The sequence below is a fragment of the Homo sapiens genome, chromosome 12 (genome assembly GCF_000001405.40).
Source record: "Homo sapiens chromosome 12, GRCh38.p14 Primary Assembly".
Taxonomy (NCBI): domain Eukaryota; kingdom Metazoa; phylum Chordata; class Mammalia; order Primates; family Hominidae; genus Homo; species Homo sapiens.
In genome coordinates, this window is record NC_000012.12 from 14,596,874 (window position 1) to 14,614,340 (window position 17,467).

At 34.6% G+C, this 17,467-nt stretch overlaps 1 protein-coding gene and 1 long non-coding RNA gene across 3 annotated transcripts in view, besides 3 other annotated features; one reads left to right on the top strand and one right to left on the bottom strand.

The window, feature by feature from the left end:
- Positions 1-17,467, top strand: part of PLBD1-AS1 (PLBD1 antisense RNA 1) — a 52,024-nt gene that overhangs the window by 29,142 nt on the left and 5,415 nt on the right. The window contains exon 3 of the long non-coding RNA NR_120465.1: positions 16,006-16,053. This is a non-coding gene — a long non-coding RNA (PLBD1 antisense RNA 1). The remainder of the gene's footprint in view (positions 1-16,005; positions 16,054-17,467) is intronic.
- GUCY2C (guanylate cyclase 2C) overlaps positions 15,759-17,467 on the bottom strand; it is an 83,968-nt gene continuing 82,259 nt past the window's right edge. For both annotated transcript variants that reach the window (XM_011520631.3, NM_004963.4), the window contains exon 27: positions 15,759-16,418. In XM_011520631.3, coding sequence (XP_011518933.1) covers positions 16,244-16,418 — 175 coding nt within the window. In that variant the 3' untranslated portion in view covers positions 15,759-16,243. The remainder of the gene's footprint in view (positions 16,419-17,467) is intronic.
- Positions 17,016-17,065: an enhancer, noted in NCBI's record as "active region_6047". NCBI's record gives its function as "activates an Ori minimal core promoter by ATAC-STARR-seq in GM12878 lymphoblastoid cells {active_cell/tissue: GM12878}" and the evidence as "EXISTENCE:reporter gene assay evidence [ECO:0000049][PMID:35858748]".
- Positions 17,076-17,175: an enhancer, noted in NCBI's record as "active region_6048". NCBI's record gives its function as "activates an Ori minimal core promoter by ATAC-STARR-seq in GM12878 lymphoblastoid cells {active_cell/tissue: GM12878}" and the evidence as "EXISTENCE:reporter gene assay evidence [ECO:0000049][PMID:35858748]".
- Positions 17,196-17,445: an enhancer, noted in NCBI's record as "active region_6049". NCBI's record gives its function as "activates an Ori minimal core promoter by ATAC-STARR-seq in GM12878 lymphoblastoid cells {active_cell/tissue: GM12878}" and the evidence as "EXISTENCE:reporter gene assay evidence [ECO:0000049][PMID:35858748]".

Below are 17,467 nucleotides of genomic sequence, written 5' to 3' on the forward strand. Positions count from 1 at the left end.
TTGGAAATTTCTCTCTTAACACTCCCTTAGCTGTGTTCCAGAGATTCTGGTATGTTGTATCTTTGTTCTCATTAGTTTCAAAGAACTTCTTAATTTCTGCCTCAGTTTCATTATTTACCCAAAAGTCATTCAGAAGCAGGTTGTTCAATTTCCAGGTAATTGTATGGTTTTGAGCAGATTTCTTAGCCTCGATTTCTAATATGATTTTGCTGTGGTCTCAAAGAGTGGTTGTTATGATTTCAATTCTTTTACATTTGCAGAGGAGTATTTTATGTTCAATAATGTGATCAATTTTAGAGTAAGTATCATGTGGCAATGTGAAGAATGCATATTCTGTTGCTTTTGGGTGGAGAGTTCTGTAGGTGTCTCTCAGGTCCAGTGCTGAGTTCAGGTCCTAGATGTCTTTGTTAATTTTCTGCCTAGGTGATCTGTCTAATACTGTCAGTGGATGTTAGAGTCTCCCAATATTATTGTGTGGGAGTCTATGTCTCTTTGAAGATCACTAAGAACTTGCTTTATGAATCTGGGTTCTCCTGTGTTGAGTGCATATATATTTAGGATAAGTAGGTCTTCTTGTTGAATTGAATGTTTTCCCATTATTTAATGCCTGTCATTGTCTTTTTTGATCTTTATTGATTTAAAGTCTGTTTTGTCTGAAATTAGGATTGTAACCTCTGCTTTTTTCTGTTTTTCATTTGCTTGGTAGATATTTCTATATTCCTTTATTTTGAGCCTAAGGGTGTCATTGCATGTGAAATGGGTCTCTTGAAAGCCGCATACCAATGGTTCTTGGTTCTTTATCCAGATTGCCACTCTGTGACTTTCGATTGGGAGCATTTAGTCCATTTATGTTCAAAGTTAGTATTGATATGTGTGGATTTGATCCTGTCATCATGATGTTAGCCAGTTATTATGCAGACTTGTTTATGTGATTGCTTTATAGTGTCACTGGTCTGTGTACTTCATTGTGTTTTCGTAGTGGCTGGTAACAATCTTTTCATATTTAGTGCTTCCTTCAGGAGCTCTTGTAAGGCAGGTCTAGTGGTAATGAATTCTCTCAGCATTTGCTTGTCTAAAAAGGATCTTATTTCTCCTTTGCTTTTGAAGCTTAGTTTGGCCAGATATGAAATCCTGGTTGGATTTTTTTTCTTTAAGAGTGTTGAATATTGGTCCCCAAACTCTTCTGGCTTATAGAGTTTCTTCTGAGAGGTCCATTATCTGTCAGATGGGCTTCCCTTTGTAGGTGACCTGATATTTCTAGCTGCCTTTAACATTTTGCTTTTTATTTCAACTTTGGAGCATCTGATGATTATGTTTCTTGGGGATGATCTTCTTGTAAAGTATCTTATTGGGGTTCTCTGCATTTCCTGAATTTGAATGTCAGCCTTTCTAGCTAGGTTGGGGAAATTCTCATGGATGATATCCTGAAATACGTTTTCCAAATTGCTTACACTCTCCTAATCTCTTTCAGGGGCATCAGTGAATCATAGATTTGGTATCTTTGCATTATCGCATATTTCTCAGAGGTTTGGTTCATTCCTTTTCATTCTTTTTTCTCTATTCTTGTGTTACTGTCTTATATCAGAAAGCCAGTCTTCAAGCTCTGAGATTCTTTCCTCTGCTTGGTCTATTCTGCTATTAATACTTGTGATTACATTATTAAATTCTTGTAGTGTGTTTTTCAGCTCTATGAGGTCAGTTATGGTCTTTCCTATACTGGCTATTTTATCTCTCAGTTCCTGCATCATTTTATTGCGATTCTTAGCTTCCTTGGATTGGGTTTCAACGTACTCCTGCATCTCCATGATCTTTATTCCTTTCCACTTTCTGATTTTTTTTCTTCTTTTTTTTTTTTTTTTTTTTTGAGGCAGAATCTCACTCTGTTGCTCAGGCTGGAGTGCAGTGGCACGATCTTGGCTCACTGCAACTTCTGCCTCCCAGGTTCAAGTGATCCTCCCACCTCAGCCTCTTGAGCAGCTGGGATGACAGGCATGTACCACCATGCCCAGCTAATTTTTGTATTTTTAGTAGAGATGGGGTTTCACCATGTTGGCCAGGCTAGTCTCAAACTCCTGGCCTCAGGTGATCCACCCACCTCAGACTCCCAGAGTGCTGGGATTACAGGCATGAGCCACCACAAATGTCCCATATTCTGAATTCTATTTCTGTCATTTCAGCCATCTCAGCCTGGTTCAGAACCCTTGCTCCTTGACAGTTCAACTCACCCATTCCCCTGGAGTCACTGGGGGCCAGAAACAAATCCCAGTTCATGGTAGCCCCATGCAGGATTCCCAGGTTCTTCCTGCTTCAGTCCAGCTTCTGTATCTTCCCTCCATCCACTCTCAGTGCTTTCCCTCTGAAGATCTGTTAGGAGTGTACCAGTTGTCTCGGTCTCTCAGTAGCAGCTGTTCCCCCTGGCTATGTCTAGTCAGCCATCTTTCTTTCTCCCGAGGTTATTCATTTTAAGGAAGAATATTACAGAGGTATTAGAACCCTCCCAGTGCATAACATGATGTTAATATGTCATTCCTTGTGAAATTAACCTTAATTATCTGGTTATTGTGGTATCTGAAGGCTTCTCCACTTTAAATTACTATGTTTTCTATGTAACAATAAATATTTGAAGGAAGGCACTTTGAAATTATGCAAATATCCTCTTTCTTCTTAAACTTTTACTCACAAATATTAGCATTAATTAGTGGACCTTGCCAGTAGCAATGATTACAGTAGTGTTCTAATATTTATTTTTAAATTTTCTTCATTTTTCTACTTATTAATATGATTTTTCTGTAAGGTGGAGTTGTCTCTTCTCTATCAGTTATTTATGGTTAATCATTTATTTATATCTGTGTGGAGTCACAGATATTTACTTTATTCTTTAGGTTATAATTCAATACTTTATTTCATTATTTTTGTTTCAGCTTTAGTCATTCGGAGCTTTTTAAAATTGACTTCCATGACATTTTGACAAGCCTCCATTTTTTGTTTTTTGGTGGTTTTTTTGCACCTCATTACTTTCTGGCAATGTGAGATGATCCAGTCTTATTTTGTATTTTTCCTGTCACAGCCTTGAAATCAATCACTTGCCTAAGGAGTCCTGGTTCTTTTTAAGAATAATAGCTAGGGGCTGGGTGTTGTGGCTCATGCCTATAATCCCAGCACTTTGGAAGGCTGAGGCAGGAGGATTGTTTGAGGCCAGGAATTTGAGACCAGCCTGGGCAAAATAGTGAGGCCCCCATCTCTACAAAAAGTAAATAACAACAACAACAAAACTGGGCATGGTCTACATGCTAGCTACTCAGGAGGCTGAGGTAGAAGGATTGCTTGAGCCTGGGAAGTTGTGGCTGCAGTGAGCCATGATTGCAATACTGCACTCCACAGCCTGGATGACAGAGCAAGACCCTATATATTAAAAAAAAAAAAAAAAAAAAAAAAAAAGGTATTTAGAAACCGCAATCTGGACACTAGTTGTGTTCATTGCTGTTGGGGGTATCACTAATTCTAGATCTTCTCAGTGAGTTAGTATATACTCACATATACATTTATTTCTCTAGCTATCTATTAAAAATCCACAAGATTCATAGTGTTACTACTGATCCAATCCAGCTCTTCAAGGTTAATTCTGGCATTCCTTTTTTGTTTATTTATAAATTTTTTCTCTGACAGTGAGAAACCTGTTGCTCATATCTAAAATATATTTATCTAATTGACCTAGTCTACATTTAAAGTGGTTTCAATTCTAACTTACCCTCTTCTGAAAAACAAATTTATCAATTAGACTACAATGTTTTGTACAGTGCTTTTTTTAGCCTTACAGAATCCACTAAAAATGCTGTTTTCCAAAGTATCTTATGTCAGCTCCTTTCTTTACCACCCTCTTCAATGAGGGTATGCCATTCTGTATAATAAAGTTAGATTTATTTTTCACATTCTACATTCCATATTGGGTTCCATCCACATCTGATTGCTTTATAAAGAATTGCTTGCAGTGAAAGTCTTCCTTTGTGGTATACAGTTCTGAAATTTTGAGAGATGCATGGTCATGTGTTTACCATCACAGTACCATATGAGACAATTACATTACCTCCAAAATTCATTTGTTCTATCTTTTTTCTTATTCTTCTTCTCTTCTTCTTCTTCTTCTTTTTTTTTTTTTTTTTTTTTTGAGACAGGTTCTCTTTCTGTCACCCAGACTGTGTTGCAGTGGCACAATCTGGGCTTGCTGCAATCTCTGCTCTCCAGGATCAAATGATCCTCCCACCTCAGCCTCCCAAGTAGCTGGGAACATGGGCACACACCACCACACTCGGCTATTTTTTTCTGTATTTTTGGTAGAGACGGGGTGTCACCATGTTGCCCAGGCTGGTCTTGAACTCCTGAGCTCAAGCAATCTGCCTGCCTCAGCCTCCCAAAGTGCTGGGATTACAGGCATGAGCCATGGAACCTGGACTTCTTCCAGCTCACAATTCCTAGAATTTGTAATCAAATTCTTCCAGCTGACAATTCCTAGAAATCACTGACCTAGTTTCCATTTCTAGAATTTTTCCTTTCCCAAAAAGTCATTTAAATGAAATCATGCAATATATAGTCTTTGGGGTCTGGTTTCTCTTAGGGAATTGTATTTAAGGAATCATCTATATTGGCTTTTTAACATTTAATTTTGTTTTTTATTATTTTCTATGGATACATAATAGTTGTACATGTTTATGTATTACATATGACATTTAGATATTTGCACACAATGTGTAATAATCACATATGGGTAATTGGGATACCCATTACCTCAAACATTTATCATTTCTTTGTGTTGGGAACATCCCAAATCTTCTCTTCTAGCTCTGAAATATACAATAAACTATTGTTAGCCATAGGCACTCTATTGTGCTGCCAAACACTAAATCTTATTCCTTCTATCTAACTATATTTTTATACATTAACCAATCCCTCTTCACCCCCCCCTTTTCCACTACCCTTTCCAGCCTTTGGTAAACACCGTTATATTTACTACCTCCATGAAATCGATTTTTATTTTAACTCCCACACATGAGTAAGAATACACAATATTTGTCTTTCTGCACCTGGCTTATTTCACTTACCCATAATGTCATCCAGTTCCATTCATCTTACAGCAAATGACAGTATTTCATCCTTTTTATGGTTGAATGACATTTCATTATATATATACAGCACGTTTTCTTTAGCTAGTCATCCATTGGTAATCACGTAAGTTAATTCCATGTTTTGGTTATTGTGAAGAGTGCTGCAATAAACATGGGAATGCAGATATCCCTTCAATATCCTGATCTTCTTTCTCTTGGATATATACCCAGCAGTGGGATTGCTGAGTCATATGGTAGTCCTATTTTTAGTTTTTAGAGAAATCATCATAATGTTCTTTATAGTGTCTGTACTAATTTGCATTCTCACCAACAGTGTACAAGTGTTCCTCTTTCTCTACATCCTCATTAACATTTGTTATTGCCTGTCTTTTGAATAAAAGCCATTTCAACTGGGGTGAGATGATATCTCATTGTAATTTTGCTTTGCATTTATCTGATGATTAATGATATTGAACTTTTTTATATACCCATGGGCCATTTCTGTTTTATGTTTTTCAAGAAATGTCTACTGAGGTCTTTTTGCCTATTTTAAAATTAAATTATTAATTTTTTGTTATTAAATTGTTTGCATTTCTTATATATTCTGGTTCTTAATCCCATGTTGGATTGGTAATTTGCAAATATCTTTTCCTTTCTCTGGGTTATCACTTCACTTCATTGATTAGTTTCCTTTGTTATGCAGAAGCTTTTTAGTTTGATGGACTCTTATTTGTCCATCTTTGTTTTTGTTTGTTTGTGCTTTTGAGACCTTTTCCAAAAAATCCTTGTCCAGATGAATGTCCTGAGTCATTTTTCCTATGTTTTCTTCTAGAAGTTTTTTAGTTTCTGTTTTTACATTTAAGTTAATTCATTTTGAGTTAATTTTTATATACATTAAGAGATAGGGATTCAGTCTCAGCACCATTTATTGAAAATATCTTTTTTCCCCAGTGTGTGTTCTTGGTGTCTTTGCCAAAAATTAGTTAGATGTAAGTGCATGAATTTCTTTCTGTATTCTTTATTCTGTTCCATTGGTCTATGTGTCTATTTTTATGTTAATATCATACTGTTTTGATTATTACAGCTTTGTAGCATATTTTGAAGTCAGGTAGTGTGATGCCTCCGGCTTTGTTCTTTCTGTTCAAGATTGCTTTGGCTATGTGGGGTCTTCTGTGGTTCTGTATACATTTCAAGATTGTTTTTTCTATTTCTATGAAGAATATCATTGGTATTTTGATAGGGATTGCAGAAAATCTGTAGATTACTTCCTTGATTTTTTTTAGGTTGTTTACTATTGACATATAGAAACACTACAGATTTTGGTATGTTTATTTTGTATTCTGCAACTGTATTAAATTTGTTTATTAGTTCTAACAGAATTTTGGTGGTGTCTGTAGGGTTTTGTATATATAAGATTATGTCACTTGGAAGCAGGGACAATTTGATTTTCTTATTTTCAATTTGGATGCTTTCTTTTCTTTCTCTTGCCTATTTGCTTGGCTGGGACGTCCAATATTAAATAAAAGTAGGCATCATGTCTTGTTCTAGATCTTAGAGGAAAAGCTTTCCAGTTTCCCCCATTGAGTATGATGCTAGCTGTGAATTTGTAATATATGGCCTTTATTGTGTTAAGGTATGCTCCTTCCCTGTCTAATTTGTTGAGAGTTTTTATCATGAAAGGATGGTGAATTTTATCAAATGCTTTTTCTGGATCTATTGAAATAATCTTATGGTTTTTGTCTTTGATTCTGTTAATGTGGTGTATTACATTTGTTAATGTGCATATACTGAACCATCCTTGCATCCTTGGGATGATTCCCACTTGATCATGATGAATCATCTTTTTAATGTGTTGTTGAATCCAGTATTTTGCCAGTATTTTGTTGAGGTTTATTGTATTTACATTTCTTAGTGATATTGGCCTACAGGTTTTTGTTGTTGTGGTGGTGGTGGTGGTTGTGGTGTCTTTGTTTTGGAATCAAGGTAATGCTGGCCTCACAGAATGGGTTAGGGAGAATTCCTTCTCATCAATTATTTTCAAAAGTTTAAGCAGAATTGATATTAATTTTTCTTTAAATTTTTGGTTTAATTTAGCAGTAAAGCCATCAGGTCTTGGGCTTTTCTTTAATGGGAAGCCTTTTATTATTTCTATCTCATTCTCATTATTAGTCTGTTCAGGTTTTCTGTTTCTTCATGATTCCATCTTGGTTGGTTGTATCAGTCTAGGAATTTTCCATTTCTTCTAGATTTTCCAACTTACTGGCATACAGTTGCTGATAATAGTATCTAATGTCCTTTGAATTTTTGGTGGTATCAGTTGTAATGTCTCCTTTTTCATCTTTGAATTTTTTTATTTGAATCTTTTTTCCTTATTAGTTTAGCTAAGCATTTGACAATTTTGTTTATGTTTTCAAAAAACCAACTTTTCATTTTGTTGATACTGTGTTTTTAGTCTTAATTTCATTTATTTCTTCTCTAATCTTTATTTTTTTCCTTCTACTAGTTTTGGGCTTAGTTTGCTATTGATTTTATAATTCTCTAAGGTGCATCATTAGGTTGTTTATTGGAAATCTTTTGCTATTTTTTGATGTAGATGTTTATTGCTATAAAATATCCTCTTAGAACTGGTTTTGCTGTATCCCATTGGTTTTGGTATGTTGAATATCCAGTTTTATTTGTTTCAAAATTTTTTAAAAATTTTTTTCTTAACTTTTTTATTGATCCATTGCACTCATGATATTTTATGAACAATAGTTTATTTTTTATTGCTCAGTGGCATGTGATTGTATGAGTACTCCATAGTTACTTTATTCATATACTTGTTGAAAAATATGTTTTTTAAAATTTATCAATAATACTAATATAAACATTCAGAAACATATTCATATGAACATAGTTTTCATTTTATTTGCATAATTATGTTGGAGTGGTGTTGTTATATCCTATTGTGTCTATTTAATTCATATTTTAAAGGGCTAAAGTATTTTCCAAAGTTTCTTTACTGTTTTAAATACCTGTTAACAATGTATGAGAGTTCCATTTGCTCTGCATCCACATCAGCACTTCATATTGTCAGACTTCTAGTTGTAGCCATTTTAATAAGTATGTGGTATTATCTTTTTGTTGTGTTAATTACACTTTACTAATGACTAATGATGTTGAACATTTATATATGTAGATATATGTTTGCATTTATATGTCTCCTTTGGTGAAATGTCATAAAGGAAACTAAAATAAAGCTACAATTTTCTAAATCTGTGCAATTCAATAGGAAATCAAAAACAAGAAGGTAAACACATGACTAGTTTTAGAACATTTAAAAATAAAAAAATTTTACCAGTATATATTATATTTCCAGTACCATTCATTTCTTTGTGTGGATCCTAGTCTGTATATGGTGTTGAATGTCTTCTGCCTGAAGAACCTTATTTAAAATTTACTATAGAATTCGTCTGCTGACAATAAACCCTCACGTTCATCTTAGGGGCATGAACATCTTTATTTTTTATTTTGAAATATGTGTATTTTTTTTTGCTGGGTATAAAATTCTTTTTTTTTCTCTCAGCATTTCAAAGATGTCATTCCATTGTCTTTTAGCTTGCATAGTTTCAGAATATGAGTCTGCAGTAATTCTTAATATTTGTCCTTCTGTTGTGCAATGTCTTTTTTCCCCGTTTGGCTATCTTCACAATTTTTTCTTTATTTTTGGTTTTCAGCAGTTTAAATATAACATGCCCAGATGTGGGTTTGGGAATTTATCCTAAATGGATTTCTCTGAGATTCTTAAACTTGTGATTTGGTGGCTGTCATTACATTTGGTAAACTCTTTCATTCTCAGCATGTGGATCTATAGTTTTCCTACCCTTATTTATTGAAGAGACTCTCTTCTCCAATGTATGTTTGTGGTGCTTTTGTTGAAAATCAGTTGGATATAAAGGCATGAATTTATTTCTGTGTTCTCTATTCTATTCTATTGGTCTATGTATCTGTTTTTATGCCAGTATAATGTGGTTTTGGTTACTGTAACTTTATTTAGCCATTATTTTTTCAAATATTTCTTCTGAATTATTTTGTCTGCTGGGATTCCAATCACATACATGTGAGACCTTTTGATATTCTCCCACAGCTCTTAGTAGCTCTGTTTTGTTTCATTCACTTCTTTTTCCCTTTGGTTAGTTTGCATAATTTTTTACTCCTATGTTAAAGTACATTGATTTTTTTAATTAGTTATGTGTAGTTTTTATTATCTATTTTTAATTTTTTGAGAAACCTTCATACTGTTTTTCATAATGGATTTATTAATTTTCATTCCCACCAACAGTGCACAAGCATTCCATTCTTCACATCCTTGCCAGCATTTGTGATTTTTTGTCTTTTTGATAATAGCCATTCTAACTGGGGCGAGGTGATATCTTTTTTGAATTTTAATTTTTAAAAATTTGAATAGCTTTACGGGCATAAGTGGGGGTGAAGTGATATCTTACCATGGTTTTGATTTGCATTTCCCTGTTGAACATTTATTTTTTCATATATCTCTTGGCGTTTTGTATGTCTTATTTTGAGAAGTATCTATTCAGGTATTTTGCTTAATTTTGAAATTTTACTTTGGATTGTGTGTGTGTGTGTGTGTGTGTGTGTTGCCTGTTGAGTTGTTTGGGTTACTTATACATTCTGGATATTAGTCATTTGTTGGATGAATAGTTTGAAAATATTTTATTGCACTCAACAGGTTGTCTCTTCACTCTGTTGATTGTTTCCTTTACTTTGCAGAAGTTTTTAGTTAAATATAGTTCCATTTGTCTATTTTGGTTTTTTTTGGCTATGCTTTTGAGGTCTTAGCCATAAAACTTTTGCCTAAGCCAATGTCTTGAAGTGTTTTCCCTATGTTTTCTTCTAGTACTTTCATAGTTTTGGGTTTTATGTTTAAGTCTTTAACCAACTTAGAGTTGATTTTTGTTTATGGTGAGACATGGGGTCTAGTTTCATTCTTTTGCATGTGGATATATAGTTTTCCTACCCTCACTTATTGAAGAGACTGTCTTTTCTCCAGTACATGTTCATGATGTTTTTGTTGAAAAGCAGTTGAATGTAAAGACATATATTTATTTCTGTGTTCTCTATTCTATTCTATCTGTCTATGTGTCTGTTTTTATACCAGTACCCTGTAGTTTTGGTTACTGCAACTTTATAGTACATTTTGAAATCAGGTAGTGAAATGCCTCCAGCTTTGTTCTTTCTGTTCCAAATTGCTTTGGCTTTCTGGGGTCTTTTGGATTTCCATATGAATTTAATTTTTTTTCTATTTCTGTGAAGAAGGCCATTAGTATTTTGATGGGAATTGCATTAAATCTGTACATTGTTTTGGGTAATATAAACATTTTTATAATATTAATTATTTGAATCCATGAACACGGAATATTTTCCATTTATTTATGTCCTCTTCAATTTCTTTAATCAATGTTTTATAGGTTTTATTGTAGAGATCATTTAACTCCTTTGTTAAGTTTATTCCTAGGTATTTTTTTTTCTTGAAGCTATTGTAAGCAGAATTGCTCTCTTGATTTTTTTCCAGTTAGTTTGCTACTGAAATACAGATATGTTATTGATTTTTGTATGTTGGTTTTGTATCCTGCAACTTTTCTGAATTTATTTATTAGTTCTAACAGTTTTTGGTGGAGTCTTTTAGGTTTTTCTATAGATATGTTTATGTTGTCTACCAACAGGGACAATTTGACTTCCTTCTTTCCAGTTTGGATGCCATTTATTTCTTTCTCTTGCATAACTGCTCTGGCTAGAACTTTTTGCATAACTGCTGTGGCTAGAACTTTCAATACTATGTTGAAATTATGAGGTAAATGTGGGTATCCTTATCTTGCTTCAAATCTTGGAGAAAAAGTTTTCAACTTTTCTTTGTTCAGTATGATGTTAACTGTGGGTTTTTATCATTGTGGCCTTTATTGTGTTGAAGTATGTTTCTTCTATGTCCAATTTGTTGAGAATTTTTATCATGAAGGCAAGCTGAATTTTATTAAAAGCTTTTTTAGCATCAATGAAAATGATTTTATTGTATTTATCCTTGATTTTGTTACTGTGGTTTATCATCTTTATTAATTTGTGTATGTTGAACCATCCTTGCATCCCTGAGATGAATTCCACTTGATTATGGTGAATGATCTTTTCAATATACTGTTGAATTTTATTTGCTAATATTTTGTTGAGGGTTTTTGCATGTATGTTCATCAGTGGTGTTGGTTTGAAGTCCTTCTCTGGTTTTGGAATCAGAATAATATTGGCCTTGGACAATGAGTTTGGAAGTATTCCCTTCTCCTTAACTTTCTGAAATAGTTTGAGAAGAACTGGTATTAGTTTTTCTTCATATGTTGGTAGAATTAAGTGGTAAAGCCATTGGGTCCTGGACTTTTCTTTGATGGGAGAGTTTTTATTACTACATCAATCTTGTTACTTGTTATTGTTCTGTTTGGGTTTTCTATTTCTTATGATTCAATTTTGATAGGTTGTATGTGTTCAGAAATGTATACATTTCTTCTAGATCTTCTAATCTATTGTTATTTAGTTGTTCCTAGTCTCTTATGATTCTTTGTATTTCTGTGGTATCAGTTGTCATGTTTCCTTTATCATCTTTGATTTTATTTATTTGAGTCTTCTCTTTTTCTTAGTAAGTCTAGCTAAAGGCATGTTGTTTTGTTTATATTTTTAAAAAATTTTTTTTGCTTTGTTGATCTTTTGTATTGTTTTAAAAATCTCTATTTCATTTAATTCCATTCTATTATTTCTTTTTTCTACTAATTTTGGGTTAAGTTTGTTCTTATTTTTCTAGTTCTTGAGGTGAAAGTCATCTTGCTTGAGATCTTTCTACTTTTTCAATGTGGGCATTTATTGCTATAAACTTCCCTCTTAGAACTGCTTTTGCTGTGTTTCATAGATTTGTGTATGGTGTATTTCCATTTTCACTTGTCTTAAGAAAAATGTTAATTTCCCTCTTAATTTCTTCCTTGACCTAATAGTAATTCAGGAGCATGTTGTTTAATTTCTGTGTATTTGTAGAGTTTCCAAAGTTTCTCCTGTTTTTTTTTTCTTCTTTTTTTTCACATGCCCATGCCCACTATGTCAAATTCTCCTGTTACTGATTTCTAGTTTTATTCCATTGCAGTCAGAAAAGATACTTAATATAATTTTGACTTTAAATTTATTAAGACTTGTTTTGTGCCTGCATATATTATCTGTCCTGACAAATGCTCCATGCACTGTTGAGAAAAATGTGCATTTTGTAGTTGTTAGGTGGAATGTTCTGTAAAAGTCTGTTAGGTACATTCAGTCTAGAGTACAGTTTAACCTCCATGTTTATTAATTTTCTGTCTGGATGATATGTCTATTGCTAAAAGTGGGGTGCTAAAGTCCCCTACTACTTTTATATTCTAAACAATCTCTCCCCTCAGGTCTATTAATATTTGCTTTACATTTTACCTTAGTATTGGGTTCATATGTATTACAATTACTGTATTCCCTGTTGCATTGACTCCTTTATATAATTTATTATATTGTATTATATAATTATATAATTTATTAAATTATACATTTATTAAATTATATAATTGAAATTTATATAATTTATTATATAAATAATATTATATTTATATAATAGCTTTATTTATTTTTTGTATACTATTCTTGACCTCAGTCTATTTTATATGATATAAGTACAGCTACTCCTGATCTTTTTGGTTTCCATTTGCATGGAATATCTTTTCCCATTCCTTTGATTTCAGTCTGCATGTATCTTCAGAGGTGCAGTTTCTTATAGAGAGCATGTAGTTAGGTCCTGTTTTTCTTTAAACAAAAATTCATTCGGCTACTCTATATCTTTTTTTTTTTTTTTTTTTTTGAGACAGAGTCACACTCTGTTGCCCAGGCTGGAGTGCAGTGGTACAATCTCAGCTCACTGCAACCTCCACCTCCTGGGTTCAAGTGATTCTTTTGCTTCAGCCACCCGAATAGCTGGGATTACAGGTGTGTGCCACCATGCTGGCTAATTTTTGTATTTTTAGTAGAGATGGAGTTTCACCATGTTGGCCAGGCTGGTCTCGAACTCCTGGCCTCAAGTGATCCAATCACCTCAGCCTCCCAAAGTACTGGGATTACAGGCATGAGCCACCATACCTGCCCTACTCTATGTCTTTTAATTGGAGAATATAGTCCATTTACATTAAAGGTTATTATTGATAGGAACATGTTTTCTGTTGCCATTCTTGTAAGTGTTTTTTGCATTTTTCTGGTAAATTTTTTATTTTCTTCCTCTCATACTGTCTTCCTCTGTGGTTAAGTAATTTTCTCTAGTAGTATGTTTTAATTCTGTGCTGTTTATTGTCAGTGTCTCTATTATAGATTTCTTTCTTTGTGGTTACTATGAGGCTTACATAAAACATTTTATAGTTATAATAGGTTATTTTAAATGGAAAAGAACTTAGCTTTGATTGCAAAGAAAAGCAAAGCAACAAAACACACTATACTTTAACATCATTCCCCCTCCACGTTTTGACTTTTTGATGTTTTAGTTTACATCTCTTTATATTGCCTCTCAACCAATTGTTGTAGTTATTATCATCTTTAATAAGTTTTAGTCTCCATAATTAAGATATAATTGGTTTATATATCATAATTACAGTACTAGAGTATTCTGAATTTCTATTCTTACTTTTACCAGTGAGTTTTATACCTTCAGATGTTTTCTTGTTACATGTTAACATCCTTCTCTTTTAGACTGCTGGACCCCCTTTAGGATTTCTTGTATGACAAGCCTGATGTTGATTAATTCCCTCAGGGTTTGTTTTTTTTTTCTTTTTTTGGTCTAGGAAAGTCTTTATCTGTCCTTCATGTTTGAAAGATAGCTTTGTTGCATACAGTATTCTTAGCTGACAGTATCTTTTTCTCAATACTTTGAATATATATCTCACTGTCTCCTAGTCTGCAAAGTTTCTGCTAAGAGATTTACTGCAAGCTATATTGGGGCTCTATTGAATGTGCTTTTTTTTTCTCTTCCTGGTTTGAATATTCCTTCTTTATCTTTGATTTTTGATAATTTGATTATGATATGATTTGGGGAATTCCTCTTTGAATTTGATTGGTGACCTCTGAGTTTCCTGTACCTGAGTGCTATCATCTTTCTTCAGATTTGAAAATCTTTCAGCTATAATTTTTAAAATATGGCTCTTTTCTCTCTCATCTTCTTTAGGAATTCTTATTATATGAAGGTTAGTTTGCTTGATGGTATCCTATAATTCTTTTTAATTCTTTTTTTCTTTTCGGATGGGTAATTTCATATGTCCTGTCTTCAAGCCCATTCTTTCCTCTGATTAAATATGTTGTTGAAGCTTTATAATGAGCTTTTCCAGTTTAGCTATTTTATCCTTTATGTCTAAGATTTCTACTTTTATGTGTGTTTTTATATTTTTTTCTTTGTCAATTTTCTCATTTTGTTCCTGGATTGTTTTTCAAATTTCATTTAATTTTTTTAATCTATACTCTTTTGTGCTTCCCTGAACTCTTTAAGATTTTTCTGAATTCTGTCAGACATGTTACGGGCCTTCAATTATTTTGGGTCTATTACTGGAGCTTTGTTGGTTTCTTTTGATGGTATCATATTTCCCTGAGTTTTCACAATCCTTGTGTCTTTACATTGATGCCCGCACATTCGAGGAGATGGTCACTTCTTCCAGCTTTTACAGGTATTCTTGGTGGTGTTAGACTTTTAGTGCTTAATGTTGTAACTTAGTCACTGGTCTGCTATTGCTTCCTGGTCTGGGGAAGCCTTAGGAGAGTGCTAGAATTCAAAGGTTGTTTAAAAGGAAAAAACCTTTTAGTTGTTTCCAAGTAAGAGGAAGGTTCCACATTAGCACCTGGGCTTTGTGGGAAATCTAACCAGGGATTCAGGCTTTCCTGTGGGTTTTGCCTAGAGTAGGACTGTTGCATCATCCAGTTTTCTCAGTATGGCATCTCTGCTGATTGGAGTACAGAGCAGCTGCAAGATCTGCATGTCAGTTTCAGCAATCAGCACCTCCGCTTTTTGTCCCCAGTTCACCCCTGGTGTTTCAGCCCACCTGGTACTTGCAATGGTTCATGAGACAGGACCAGAGTGAGCTTCTTGTGAAGATTCTCAGACTGGTGGGGAGATCAAACTTCCATCTCCAATTCCCTCCTTTTACCTTGTAAACTGTGGGTCTAAGGAAATTATCTGTGAGTGGTGTTATGCCAGCTTGGGGGAAGGGGTGGCGCAGTCTAAAATGAAGTGAGTATTATAATTCATAATTTACTGATGAAAGATCAGGAGCCTGGAGACATGGATTACTTTGTAGTTAGAAAAGTGCAGTACAGGAACTTGACTTTTGCCTGGGTCCCATACTTGGATCACTGCCATCCACATTGTTAATTGGACAAGCTGAAGCAACACCTCTGTATAAAGGTCAAAAATTCCCTCATGTGTAGCAAGTGATACTAACCTTCAAGGTTCTCACCCTTGAGCAACAATGCTAGCTTTGCCGTACTTCAGTGTGAGTGAATGTAGTCAGTTTTTCAGTAAGCACAAGATGATGTGACTGATGTATTCCAGGAAAATGGGCAAAATAGGTAGAAACGCATACACAGTTTTGGGAAACCTTTAGCTTTTATTCTTGCCTAATATATAGCATATTTTCTGCAAAAATTATGAGTTAAATATACTTTAATGAAGATGGGTATTTAAAATATAATTATGACAATTTAAAAAATCTTATGAATACAGAAGGAAAGCCAGTAAACAAAAACGATAAAAATAAACAAACAAAAAATAAATGAAATAAGAATAAAATCTTCTCAAGTTCTAGATAGTCTATTCATTTCTTTTCTTTTCCAGGTAGAAGCTCCCTGGAACAACTGCTGGAATAAGGTTCCAGAGTGGAAGGTAGTTATTTCACTGAGAACACACATCTGATTCATGCAAGAAAGTCCATGTTCCAGACAGGGCAGCCAAGCCTAAGTACATTTCTGCTTCATTGAGGTCTCAGGAAAATGTAAGCTTTCAGGACACTTGAGGTCGCTGCCTCAGTGCAGCTGTATTTTAATTTGTGTGAGTCCTTATACCTCATTTAGGTTTAAAAATAGGTGCTCTCCTTGTCTGTGGTATTCAGCTGCAAGTATTCCAGAGTGCCTTTTTTATAGCTGGCTACCCGTCTGGGTTTTTGGCTTCTTATCCCTGCTGCCTGTCTTTTCTGTAAAGAGTTGGCAATCATGTCTGAAAATTCTGCTTGCAAACGCTGTTGATTCTCCCTGGAAACAGAGTGGGAAGAGAAAATAGAACTTCTCAGCAATTCATACAGAATATTCCTTAGCTCCAGAATAATCAGTTCAGTTAGTCAGTTACTCTTTGAATGCCTATTCTGTGCTAGACACAGGAAATCCAAAGAATACAAAATGATCCCTGCCTTTGATGAGCTTAAAAAACTGTTATCTCTGCTAGGAAATTAGGCTTCAATTTCAAAGTGAAACAATATGCTGCTGGAATTTGGAGGCATGGTTGGGAGGATCTAGGTTTACATATGCCACTGCAGGAAGGGGAAAAGAAGCTGGGAGGATGCTAGGCCCCTGCCACACAACCCTGAAAACTCATTGGTCCCACACATACTTAACAGTGTGAGTCTTGTTTGGGGAAGGCTTAGAATGGTGGAGGGGACCACGAGTTTAGAATGGACCTGGAACACTCCAAGTAAGGAGCCAGGTTTCTCATGCCCCAGGGAAGATTTGGGTTGTTTTGGCTTTTCTAGAAGGTTGCCATCTCTCTGGGTCTGACATCTAGGCCTCTGCAAGACAGAGTTTCTCAACCATAGCAAAAGCCAAGGAAATGGCCATATGGCTGCAGTAACATGTATTGACAGGCAACTGGGTGACAGCTTGAGTCACCTTTAGGAGAAGTGAAACCTGTCAGTTAACCCTGAAACTTTGTCTTCCTCATCTCAGGGAGAACACAGACTTCATGTTAAGACCCAGAACCGCAGTCTTGGGGTTGGGGCAGGTCCTGTTTTCATCAGGCAACTCAACAGAAAGATGAAGACAGGAGTGGAATGCAGAGAGCCTCTTTGCCCCCAGTATGCTCCACTCTTGTCAGAACAAGACATGCATGAAGTGAACTCTAAAGTGTCTTCTGTTCTCCCGAGCAAGCCTGGAACACAACGCTAGCTTTGCCATGCTTTATTGCAGGGCAATATAGTCAGTTTTTCAGCAAGAACAAGATGATGACTGGTACAGTCTAAGAAAGTGGACAGAATAGGTAGAAGCTCATACCCAGACTCAGGAAACTTTTAACTCATTCTTGTCTAATA